Raw genomic sequence first — 13840 nt, 5'->3', positions numbered from 1 at the left:
TGGAAGCCCTAGAGCAATCAGACAAGAGAAAGAAAGGACATCCAAGTTGGAAAGGAAATAGTCAAATCATCCTTGTTTGCCAATGATATAATCTTATATTTGGAAAAACCTGAAGAGTCCACCAAAAACCTATTAGAATGAATAAATAAATTCGGTAAAGTTGCAGGATACAAAATTAACATACAAAAATCAGTAGCATTGCCATAGGCCAACAGCAAACAATCTGAAAAAAATTAAGAAAGTAATCCTACTTATGATAGCTACAAATAAAATTATATACCTAGGAATTAACCAAAGTAGTTAAAGATCTCTACAATAAAAACTATAAAACATTGATGAGAGAAATTAAAGATAGGATACAAAAAAAAATGGAAAGAAATACCTTGCTCATGGATTGGAAGAATCAATATTGTTAAGATGTCCATACTGCCCAAAGCCATTACAGATTCTATGCAATCCCTATCAAAATACTAATGACATTCTTCGCAGAATTTTTTTTAATCTGAAAATTATAAGGAATCACAAAAGACCCAGAGTAGCCAAAGCTATCCTGAGCAAAAAGAACAAAACTGGAGGAATCACATCACCTGACTTCAAATCATATTACAAAGCTATAATAACCAAAATGACATGGTACTGTCATAAAAACAGACACATAGACCAATGGAGCAGAATAGAGAACTCAGAAATATAGTGATACATCTACAGTGAACTCACTGTTAACAAAAGTGCCAAGAAAATACCTTTGGGAAGACAGTGTCTTCAGTTAACTGTGCTGGGAAATGGATATACATATGCAGAAGAATGAAACTAGACCCCTATCTGTTGCCATGTACAAAATTCAAATCACAATGGATTAAAGACTTAAGTCACAGACCTCAAACTGTGAAGCTACTAAAAGAAAACACTGCAGGCTGGCTGCGGTGGCTCACGCCTGTAATCCCAGCACTTTGGGAGGCCAAGGTGGGCGGATCACCAGGTCAGGAGATCGAGACCATCCTGGCTAACACGATGAAACCCCGTCTCTACTAAAAATACAAAAAATTAGCCGGGTGTGGTGCCGGGCGCCTGTAGTCCCAGCTCCTCGGGAGGCTGAGGCAGGAGAATGGCATGAACCCGGGAGGCAGAGCTTGCAGTGAGCAGAGATCTTGCCACTGCACTCCAGCCTGGGTGACAGAGCGAGACTCCACCTCAAAAATAAAAAAAAAGGAAAAGAAAACATTGCAGGAACTCTACAGGACATTGGACTGGACAAAGATTTCTTGAGTAATACTCCACAGGGACAAGAAACCAAAGTAAAAATGTACACATGGGATCATATCAACTTAAAAAGCTTCCGCACAGCAAAGAGGGCAATCAATAAAGTGAACAGAATGGGACAATATGTACAAACTATCCACCTGACAAAGGACTAATAACCAGAATATATAAGGAGCTCAAACAACTCTATGTGAAAAAAAAATCTAATTATCTGATTTTAAAAGGGACAAAAGATGTGAATACACATTTCTCAAAAGACAAACAAATGGCAAATAGGTATTTGAAAAGACATGGATATCCACTCTTTCTCTATTTAACACTATACCAGGGTTTCCAGCAGGGAAGTATGAAATAAAATGAAATTAAAAGCACTTAGATTAGAAAGGAAGAAGTGAAACTATGTCTACTTGCAGCTGTCATGATATGATACGTAGAAAGTCTTAAGGAATTTACTAAGAAAAAAAAAATCAGAATTAGTTAACCTATTCAGAAAGGTTGCAGGATACAAGATCAGTATACAAAACTCAATTGTGTATGTATACATTATGAATGAATGATCTGAAGAGAAAATTTAAAACAGTTCCGATTACAATAGCATCAAAAATAATAAAATATTCAGGAATACATTTACCCAAAGAAGTGCAAATTTATACCCTGAAAGCTACAAAACAACTGAAAAAATTGAAGACCAAAATAAGTGGAAAACATCACATGTTGATGGATCAGAAGATTCTTAATATTATTGAGATGGTAATACTCCCCAAACTGATCTACTGATTCAAGGCAATCTCTATTAAACTCTCTGATGGCCTTTTTGGCCAGAAGAAAAAAGATAATTGTAAAATTCATATGAAAATACAACAGACCCAGAATAACTAATCTAGAAAAAGAAAAAATATGGAGGACACATATACCCCAATTTCAAAACTTGCTACAAATCTGCAACATCCAAGAAAATGTGGCATAGACAGGAGGGCAGATGTATAGATCAAATAAACAGAACTGAGGTCCAAAAATGAACCCTTATATTTACAGTCAACTGATATTCAATAATGGTATCAAGACAATTCAGTGGGGAAAAAAGAATTTTCTTCAACAAATGGTGCTGAAACAACTAAATAACACATACAAAAGCATGACATTAGGCCTGTATCTCACACCATATTCAAAAGTTAACTCAAAATGTATCAAAGAATGAAATGTAAGACATAAAACTATAAAACTCCTAGAACAAAACAAAGGTGTCAATCTTCATGACCTTGGATTAGCAATGGTTTCTTAGATATGACATCAAAAGCATGGGTAACACCAAAAAAAGTAGATAAATAAAATATTATCGAAACTAAAACCTGGTATTTTAAGAACACCATCAAAAGAGTAAAAAGTAACAAAGAATTTAAGAAAAAATAGTTTCAATGTATATATCTTGATAAAGAACGTGGATCCAGTATGTACACAAAAGATTTGAATAGACATTTCTCCAAAGATAGTAATACATGAAAAGATGCTCACCGTCATTTCCCATCAGGAAAATGCAAATCAAAACCACAATGATTCCAGACCAGCCTGGCCAACATGGCAAAACCCCATCTCTACTAAAAATACACAAATTATCTGCATGTGGTGGCACGCGCCTGTAGTAATTTGCCTCTTCTCGGGAGGAGAATAGCTTGAACCCGGGAAGGCAGAGGTTGCAGTGAGCTGAGATCACACCACTGTATTCCAGCCTGGGCAACAGAGCAAGACTCTGTCTCAAACAAACGAACAAATAAAAAACCATAATGAGATATCACTTCACATTCCTGAGGTGGCTATAACAAAAAGGGCAAACAATTACAAGTGTTGATGTGAACATCGAAAAATCAAAATCCTCAAAGTGTCTGAATGTAAACTGTCGCAGCTGCTTTGGAAAATAGTCTAGCAGTTCCTCAAAAGCTTAAAAACAGTTACCATATGACCCAATAATCTCACTCCTAAGTATATACCCAAGAGAAATGAAAATATATATACATGTAGGAAATAAAAAGTAGTATCTTTTCCTTACCCATGGCAAAGTTCATGGCTGACATCCCAGTAATAAAAGATAAATTACTAAGAGAAAAATATAACATTTATTTAACCAAAGTTTTACATGACACAGAAGATGTTGGAAATGAAGACCAGAAGACTCAGGGAAAACTGTGTATTTTTATGGACAGTCGTGCAAAACTGTGACTGGAGGACAAAGGCATATGATTCTGTGGTAAAATAAACTTATTAGAAAGGCCTGTTTGTTGAGATTCTTCTTGGACTCTAGGTACAAGACAGAACCTCTCTGAATGAGGGTCATAAGATCTACTTTCCAGGAAGGTAGCTATGAGAATTCTTTTATGACCATGCTTCATGGGAGAAAGCTGGGAGAAGATCAGTGAACAATCTTGCTGCTTCCGTGGGTATTGAGTAAATGATGTGGACCATCACATCCAAAAATAAATTATGAATAGATTAAAGACTTTAGGGTGGGAAAAACTTTGTCATATAAAACCTTTAAACATTTGAGAAGAAAATAATAAAATGACTACCAAAATTCACAAACTTTTGAAATTCCAGTTTTCTTTATTCAACGTCTGTAGAACAGAAGGTATTTATAAGATATGAAGTATTAGTATCCAAAATAAGTAATGAATGCCCAAAAAGCAATAAGAAAAAGACAATAACCCCATGAGAAAAAAATGTAACACAAGTCACAGCAAATCCCAGAACTGATTATTCAAGTAGAATAAATAAGGAAATAAAAATTATCACCAAATAATCATGTAGCTGTGAATTAATACAAGTACTGATTTACCCTTATCACACTTCCAATTTGTTTTAATGCTGCACAGAAGCAGAAACTGATATAAAAATTAAGAAAATAAATCCACCAGAATTCAGTTCTCTCAATGGCTCAGTCACCCCATGATTGTGCACTAATAGACTTAAATATTTCCATAAATAATCTGCAACAGGTTTATACACCGAGAAAGATGTATCCTTCTCCCCTAACTTAAATATTCTTGCACACATGCATATACACACACATATATCCATACATATTACCATCGTCCCTCAGTATTCCTGGAGGATTGAACCCAGCCAGGGGTCTCCAAATACCAAAATCCATGGATGCTTTAAGTCTCTTATATAAAATGGCATAGTATTTGCAAATACCCTACACACGTTCCCATATACTTTAAATCATGTCTGGATTACTTAAAATACTGAATACAATGTAAACAGTTGTTATACTGTATCTTTTACTTGTTTTTTTTAATTATTGTATTGTTACTTTTAATTGTGTTGTTTTTTTTTTCTGAATAGCTTGATCCACTGATACAGAACCTGCAGATACATATGGTCAACTGCTTGTAACTGTTGACTAACCGTGTGTGTGTGTGTGTGTGTGTGTGTGTGTGTGTGTGTGTGTGTGTGTGTGTAGGGGCATATACATGGAGAGACCACCATATTTACTAGTACTAAAATCTGTGTCTGCCCTTTTCAACAAAATCTATAGTTTAAAAAAAAATGTAATTTAATAAGAAAAGAAATTAGCAAAAACCTCTAAAGACAAAGAGAATGCCATAAAAAAGTATTATTTTGAAAAATACTAATAAAATTGTAAGAAACCACTGCCTCACTTGATTAGCCTTTTAAAAAGGGTATAAGATTATAAAGATTGATTGTAACTTTTATCTTCTATAAAAATAAAATTTTCCCATAAATAAGGCCCTTTAAAGTCAAAGAAAGCACCTTTAAAGTCAAAGAAAGCACCACCATAGAACCACGTATTTGTATTGTTTAACTGTTTAGTATTTTTTACACTTTATATTTCAAAGGATCTAGAAAATAGTCTTAAAAACTATACTGCAACAAATTATAGCTATCTTTGTAAGCTTAAGCCTTAAGTGAAAAAGTTAAAACCAATGATTCTAAATATGTTATTTGAAAACACATTTTCTTTCAAAATGCAATAGCCTTTATTTTTTAATGATTACATTTTAGGATAACCATTTGAAGTCAGTTTCCTGCTTTGCAACATCAATTTTTAAAAAGCTATGGGTCTTAAGTGAAAGAATATAAATTAATGCTAGTCCCCACTGGTGGATATGAATATATAAGTTGTTAAAGAAAATAACATGTATTAAACTTCCTAGAAAAAGTTAGATCCAAAAGAGGAGTATGGATTCCATTCCTATTGTATACCTTTATTTTTGCATCAGTGCTATATTTTTCTTTTCTCAAATGTGCTTCCTGCTTCCTCAATTTCTCCAGGTCATTTAGCAGGTCAGTGCAGCGGGTACTTAATTTCTTGTTTTCCTCCTCCAGATTTTTTATAACTAGTCTGTTTTGCTCTTCTTTGTTCTGTACACACTCCTTAGTGTCCTGTAGAACAGTACCACAAGGGCAAATAAATAAAACAAAACGAAACAAAAAACCCAAAAAATGGTGAGCACTAATCAGCAAATACAAACTGTGCAGTTTTACCCTCACAGAAGCTTCTTCTATATTTGATAGCCAAGGTCACCTGTGTACTTTTATTGGCCTCTTTTCATGCAGGTGGATGGGTCATATTTTTTCACTGGATGACAGCTTTGATGAGTACACATTTGCAAAGAGCCCATTAATTGATCAAGCTGCCTTTGATGCTGTCCCCAGCTATTTTTGAGACCCATACAGACATATCCTCCCAGACCTGGGTTTTATCAATTAATAATGCCAGTCCCATCAGAATCTAATTACAAGAAGCCACATATTCACACTCCTACTTTCTTAGCTCCATTTCCATCATTAACTATTTATCTAAAAGTTATAAAGCTTGGAGTTCTGGCTTTAAAGCATCTTTATCAGAGTTTTTGCATGTGAGAAAACTGTATGGTACAGGAGGGCCTAAGGCAATTTTTCCTCCAAATCTGTCACTTTCTGTGCCACAAAGGCTAACAAAGCTTAAAGCAGAACTTCAAAGCAACAGTCCCACAAAACTATGTACAAGTCAACACACCTTAATTTCTTGACTTTTATCTTTAAATTTCTTCTCCAAGTCACTGAATTCTTTCCTTAAGAAAGCATTTTCTTCATCTACTGCAATTTTCCGTTTTACAAGGTCATTTATTTCCTGTTTCAGTACTGACTCTCTCTGTGGAAAAAAATTTAAATTACTGGTGAGCTTTTATTTCTAAGAAAAACAGTATTTTATTTTAAAGGTTTTACATTTTGATTTGCTAATGTGATGATTAAATAGCTTTCATAATAATGTCTGTCACCACAATTCTCATCTCCTGTAACATGCCCATGAATTTTTAACTAAAATGTGCAAGTACAGGGCCTATTTATGTTGAAGAACACATAAAAACTGGATATTAAATATTAAATCATACTCAGAAAGCAAATTTTCAAAATTTAGGTGTGTAACAGGAGAAAAACAAGATTTTACGAACCATTCTAATTAAAGAAAATATATTTATAGCTAACATAATTCCTTATTCTTTTATTTGAATGTCATTTAGAAGGAACTTTTCTGATAAACTATGATTTTGTAAAAGCATAAATCACTTTAAAATTTTTAAAATGGCAAGTTTATTTTAGTACTAATAATATCTTGCTCTGTAGACAGAATATTTAGAATGTTAAGGCTGCCAAAATTTTTAACCGAACATTCTTCTCACCTGTGAGATACCTAAATTACACCTACGAGGTGGATGTACCCCAGACTCAATTTTTAGCTTTCCTTGTTTCTCTGTACATCTTTTCTCTCAGAAAATGTAGCACCTCTCTTGGCTGCTGATCTTTCCTCTGTCTGAAAGACTATCTAATCTATAATCCAGCCCTCACCTTCCCAATCACCAATCTCATATTTCCAGCTATACAAGACCTCTCCCTTTGGATTGTCTACTATCTCAAACTAACTTACTAAAAATGAAATCCATATCCTGATACTATCTCTTTCCTAAACTTCTTCAACTTTTATCAATCCATCCATTCTTTCAACTAATATTTATTAAACACATAGTATCTAGCCTCACACAATTATTGGAAGCCTCCAAGTCAGACTCAATAACACCTTCTGTCTGTCAACCAAGAAAGAGACACATCAAGATAGAAACACCTTTTTTTTTTAAGTAATATGCTCAGTTGACCTTTATTCCATTTCTGATCTATCACTGGTGCTGATCCCTAAATATCGATTTATTTTATACTCTCACATTTCTTCCTTATCAAATTGTCTCCAAAGGACTTGGGAATAAACTGAAAATGAGAGGAAGATCCAGGATTATGATGAAAAGTGGATTTTAGGAATAAAGTGAAAATATATCCAATATTCTATTTTATTTAGTTAGTTTTTTTTGAGAGACAGGTCTCGCTCTGTCATGTCACCCACTCTGGAGTGCAGTGGCACAATCATGGCTCACGGCAGCCTCGAACTCCTGGACTCAAGGGATCCTCCCACCTCAGCTTCCCAAGTAGCAAGGACCATAGGTATGTGCCACCAACCCAGCTAATTTTTAATTTTCTTTGTAGAAATGAGGTCTCACTATGTTACCTTCTCAAACTCCTGGACTCAACTAATCTTCCCAGCTTGGCCCCGCTGAGATAACAGGTGTGAGCCACCGTGCCCAACCCCAATACTCTAATTTTTAAAAGTGTAATATTAATTATTGATTTTATTTTACTTATAGTTAAAAAATAATTTAGACGCTGAATACATACAAAAATAATCTGTGATCAGTGTGTAAATAATTTTTTAAAAAAATAAGTAAAAGGAGAGGTCCTGTACGTAACCAACATTCAGCTAGGAAACACAACTGTACCATTATCTTTGATATCTCATAAATGACCCTTTATCCTCTAGTACCTCTTATTCCCTCCAAGGGTAAGCATTATCCTGAAACCCTGATTCTTATCTTTGCCTTGCTTTTCTTTATAGTTCAAAGACAGATATATGTCCCTATTTAATATGCTGTATAGTTTTGCTTACTTCTGAACTTAAATCATATTACACATATTACATAGCTTGCTATTTTTGCTCAACATATGTTCCCAAATTTATTCATAATAATGAATGTAACTAGATCAATTTCTTGATGTACAGTATTAGTCCATCAGATAACTATGCTATATTTATCCATCTTTTATCAGTGTGTATTTCAGCTGTTTCCCATTTGAGGTAAAGGGGTATACAAACAATACTGCTATGAACACTCTTCAGCATGACTGCAAATATTCATGACCAAGAATTTCTCCCAAGCAGTGTTTTTCAAACTGCAGACTGCAATCTAGTAATGGGTCATTAAATCGATTTAGTTACAATAAGTGGCATTTTTTTAAACGGATTATAATACAATAGAAAATATCAAGGTAATAGGCACACATTCTTAGCAATGAAACTACAGTTAAAGGAATAAACTTATAAAACAGACATGCTTCATAAATTATTTTCTAAATTTTTATCATGTTTAAGATTTTTATTGTATTTAAATATTAGTAAATTCACATTTGATATAAACATTTTCATATATTTACCTTAATTATATGTAGTAAAAATAACTTATACGAAACTTACTTCATGTGTGTATAATGGGTCATGAAGTAAAATGTACTTCAGCGTGGGGATCATACTAACAAAAGTTTGAAGAACACTTCTCTGGATTATATCCACTTAAAAGTGAAATTGCTAAGTCAAAGACTATTTGCATTTCAAGAGTTTTCATTATTCTACCTCCATACCAACACTTAACTCTCAGGGTTGGAAATTTTTTTAAATCCAGTAAGTACAAATAGCATCTCAGTTTTTAACTTTTCTGTTCTATTTTAATTATTAGGCCATATCAAAATGTGCCTGACATCAATCAAATAACATAAAAATAGATGCATAAAAATGGCTCCTCCACAATTTACAATCAATTTTTCTACTCTCAGCTAAGTCTTATGCCCCTTTAAGACTCGACTTCCACCTCCTCAATAAAAGCTTCCCTTACTATCTCAGTATTTTGTAATTCTTGCCATTTCTAAATTTTTGTATTATCTATATTATACATTTGATACACAACAAACTACCGAGTGTTGCTAATAATCTATCTACTCATAATATCTCCCAAACTAGACTGTTAAGTGTTTACAGATGAAATTGACACTAAATAATAAATTCAATAATATAAGCATTAAAACTGTTTGTAAAATACCCATAAGCCTATCCTTTGAAGGAGAAATGACAAAATTTGAGCATATCTTGTCTATTCTGAAATTAGTTAAACTCTAGGAAGAACCAAATGACAAGTTTTAAAAGAGTTTTCCCATTAAAGTAAACTAAACAGGCACTGACAATATAAATGATACCAATAGAGAGTCCTTTCATGAGAATTATTTAATAATTTAGATTTTGGCATTTGAGTGAACTTATAATAGTAATTCAAAAGGACAAACACAGACTCAATCTGTAAATTAAAAAGCATAATAAAATTTAAAAAATTGGTTAACCAAAATTATTATATTCCGATAATTAGTTTAATATTAAATTGCATAATATAGTTACTTATATCACAAAATCATTAAAGAAAATAAGTTAGACAAAGATTCTCTCCCAACACAAGAGCACTGATAAACTCTAAAAGTGTAAAAGTTTGTATAAATCAACATATTTTCCTAATAAAATATACCCTCTATAAATAATGAAAGCACAGACATATACAGTTAAAGTTCATTTTAAAATTAAGCTTTATTAATATTTTTCAACAAATCTTTCTGAATAGAGGCAGGTAAATTCTTAATAGCCTGGCTTGAGTTAATATTAAAACAGCAAACAGAATTCAGAGGAACCATAAAGCAATAAGGGATGACAAGAGAGAGAATGTCTGGAACAAATAATTTATTACAGATAAGCCATGAAATGAATGAATAATTCAAATAATGGTCAAGAGAAGTCTACAGAGTAACAAGAGAATAATAGTGAGTATGAAGCAGGCATAAAAATGGGTGGGGGGTAGGGAAGGGGCATAAGGCCCAAACCCCAAACTCTATTAGGCAATACTTGAGCATAGTTAATTTATTATTTATACTGACCTATTTTCAAAATGGACATGAAACTTTTAACAAAAAACAAACAAAGCAGTAATTAAACCACAATAACTAAAGCAATGATAAGTGGAGAAAAAGGAAGGGATAAAAGAAGTAATTGCAATTATGAAACAAAACTTCTGAGCTTCCTAGAAGGTAAGGAAAAAATGAAATATAATGTTAAAGAGCAATTATCATCTAATTAAATACAATTTACTAGGTTATCATAAGTCATGCTATCAAAGCACAATACTAGAAGGGAAATGTATTAACATTGTTTTATAACAGTGACAAAGCTAAAACATAGTCTTACCCAAAAAAAGGCAATTCTTTATACTAATAATTATTAGATTGCACCCTAGGAAAGTTTTTCTGCAAACAGCTAAAAAAAAACTGTGTGTGTGTGTAACTTTCTAGTAATTTCACTAGATACAGAAGTAAGAGTTAAATAAGCTGAAGGATTTGTCATTCTAATTCTTACTCTATCTCATAGCTATAAATCTTGAACATTAGGAGCTATTTAATATTTTTCAGTGGAACAACAACAATTCAATGGAGGGGGCTTCTGGTTTCCAGTCCAGCATATAAGGAACTTGGCAGTCATCTTTCTCATTTACACAATAAGAAAAAACGCTGAACAAACTGAAAATCAACAACTCTTTTCAGATCCATCAGAGAATTGAGACTATCCAGCAAACCAACGCTCCCAAAATTGAAGAGACAGACATGAAAATAGAGAGAATAACAACTTAATGGAACAGATGCCCAGGAGAAAAAACTTCCACAGGAGCCAGCACCAGGGTGGAAAAACTTATTCTGTAATTAATGAATTACTGGAAGATCAATATGGACAAGTCTGAGAGTTTAAAACTCAAGGATGGCTCAGTCATGCTTGGGGGAAGGGGGCAAGCAGTACTCAGAGGAACCATAAAACAATAAGAGGTGACACATTTTCATAAGTTTAACCTACTGGACCCCTGTCATGTTGTCACAGGGAAGATCACACAATTATTCCTTCCTGTTTCCAGTATGTGGAGGGAGAAAGTAACCATCTTTAAACACACTCAGAGTATTCTTTTCTTCTTACCAAGGCCTGCCATCAAGAAAAACTATTTTACCAGAGCCCAGACTCATGGGGTTTTACCTGAGCCTAACTAACCAACTTGGAAAAGGGAAATACCCAACTCTAGCACCTTCTAGCCTTCCTGTCTCTCCTAAGGGGGTAAGGGGAGGGGGGAAACAAACAAACAAAAAACTAAGAAGCACTTTTGAAGGTCACAGTCCAGAAGCACAGCTCACCATGAAAAAAACCCAAACATAACACTACAGACCGCTTCCTCTCCTCCCCCAACACCCCACCACCACATCAATGGGACTATTGTATAATTAATAGGTTTGACCAAACAAAGCAGTTTAAATAGCAACTATTAAATTAAATTGCCTCTGTAGGTAGCTAACTGTAACCTAACAACATGTAAACACAACCCTACTTGAGAGTATATTTTTGTATAGTAGCCGAGTCTCAGCCAATCACAGCAGCCAAGCATTCAGCCAATCACAAGTGCAAATTGCCAAAACATGTCCAAATAAGGCAAACACCAAACTGTAACCAATCTGGCTATTTCTGTGTGTCACTTCCATTGTCTGGCTGTACACAGTCCCAGCCCACACTGCGGAGCAGAGCTCTATGAACCACTTTTGGTCCTGAGTGTTACCCAATTCGTGAATTTTTTTCAGCTCAATTAAACTCCATTGAATTTAATTTGTCTAAGGTTTTTCTTTTTAAGAAAACTGAATTATGCATATCAAGGATATTTATAAAATCTCTACAAAAATTCAAATAAAAGGCACGGATACCAGAGTTCTGCCTCTAACTCATACCACAGCGAACAGTGGAGACAGCCTAATATCTAGCCAGATAAACATAAAACCTATTTACCCCAGCTGTTTTTACCCATTTGGTTAATTTTATATGTCAGTTTGGCTAGGCTACCCATGGTACACACGTTCTTATCTAACACCAGTCTAGATGTTATTGTGAAAGTATTCTTTAGATGTGGTTAACATTTAAATTAATGGACTTTGAGAAAAGCAGATTACCCTTCATAATGTGGGCTGGCCTCATCCAATCAGTTGAAGGCCCCAAGAAAATACTATGATCCCCAGAGGAGGAAGAAATTCTACCTCCAGGCTACCTTAGGATTTGCAATGTAACATAAACTGTTCCCTAGGTCTCCATTCTGCCAGGCTGCCCTGCAGAGTTACTTGCCAGCCCACGACTGCGTGAGCTATTACTTAAAACAAATCAGTCAATCAATCAATCCATCCCACTATCTCCCCACCCCATAATGTCACATTTCTTCATTCCTTTCCATTACTTTGTCAGAATTCAATGATCTCTTAAAATTTCATATGCCATCCCTGTTGTATTGCTTTCTAAAATTCATTTTAAAACTTCATGACTGCTAAATGTAATGTCTTTTTCAAAAACCCACTCCATTTTTTGCAGCATTTTACGACAATGACAACATTTTGCTTCTTGAAACTCTCTCTTCTCAATTCATGAGATATTGCATTGTACTCTCTCCTTACTTCTATAAAGTCTTTTCACCTCTTTCACTACAATTTTTCCTTCCTCATTAAAAATATCAGTAAATATCTTGTTCTCAAAATTCTCACTGCTTAAAGTCTTCCCTCTAACTAAACTATTAAATACCCACATCTCCAGGTCAAAACTCCTTCATCAGATTCATGCTTCCAACAGTTTGCTAAAAATCTCTAAATGGAATTCCTATCAGCATCTCAAACACAAACTTTCTAAGAGGAGCTCAAAACCTTACCTTCAAAACAATTTATACTTCCTGAAAATAAGCCTATTTTTGATAATAACGCCACTGTTCTCCTGGTTTCTCTAAGCTGAAAACCTAAGAGTCATTTTCAGAATTACTATCAAGTCCTTATGGTTCCATTTACATACCTTTAATTCCTGCCAACCTAATAATTCAGGTCCATGTCAGTGGACCTGACTATGAAATAACTATTAATAATTACGTACTGGGTATACAGTCGTCTGTATGAGACTAAAGAGTGGATGAAAGAGAAACAGACTCTGCCCTCATAGAAACAAAGTAGTGTAGGAGAATATGGCAATTTCCACCTTACTTCTATCATCACCTAATCATCAAAGAGATTTAAAAAGCGTTAAAGGCAAGAAATGTAACTCTGAATATTCTACAACACCATCACAGGATAATATATACATTTAATACATTATCTTGTTGCACCTAACTGAAAATATACTTTGTAGAAAGTTATAATCATCATTGCACAAAAATGAAATGATTAATCCTAAGAAATTTGGGTCCCTACAAAGCAAATAATTTCTATTATGAGAGTTTAATATGTTATATATAAGCTATGTGATTCCACTCAAAAGATAAATAATGAAACAATCCCTACTCAAGGATGCAGAAGTAGACAAAGAATTTAGCAAAGAAAAGGGGAAAATATATTT

General features: G+C 34.0%; 1 protein-coding gene across 16 annotated transcripts in view; it reads right to left on the bottom strand.

Moving 5' to 3' along the window:
- The window catches only part of CNTLN (centlein), a 393595-nt gene that overhangs the window by 286565 nt on the left and 93190 nt on the right, over positions 1-13840 (bottom strand). For all 16 annotated transcript variants that reach the window (XR_007061321.1, XR_007061322.1, XR_929282.3 and 13 more), the window contains exons 4-5: positions 6278-6412; positions 5482-5661 (exon numbers count right to left, since the gene is read on the bottom strand). Coding sequence is in view for 13 of the 16 variants with exons in the window: in XM_017014839.2 (XP_016870328.1) it covers positions 5482-5661; positions 6278-6412 (315 nt within the window). In the remaining 3 variants the exon portion in view is untranslated. The remainder of the gene's footprint in view (positions 1-5481; positions 5662-6277; positions 6413-13840) is intronic.

The sequence above is a fragment of the Homo sapiens genome, chromosome 9 (genome assembly GCF_000001405.40).
Source record: "Homo sapiens chromosome 9, GRCh38.p14 Primary Assembly".
In the NCBI taxonomy this organism is placed as follows: domain Eukaryota; kingdom Metazoa; phylum Chordata; class Mammalia; order Primates; family Hominidae; genus Homo; species Homo sapiens.
This window is presented reverse-complemented; position numbering and strand designations above follow the sequence as displayed.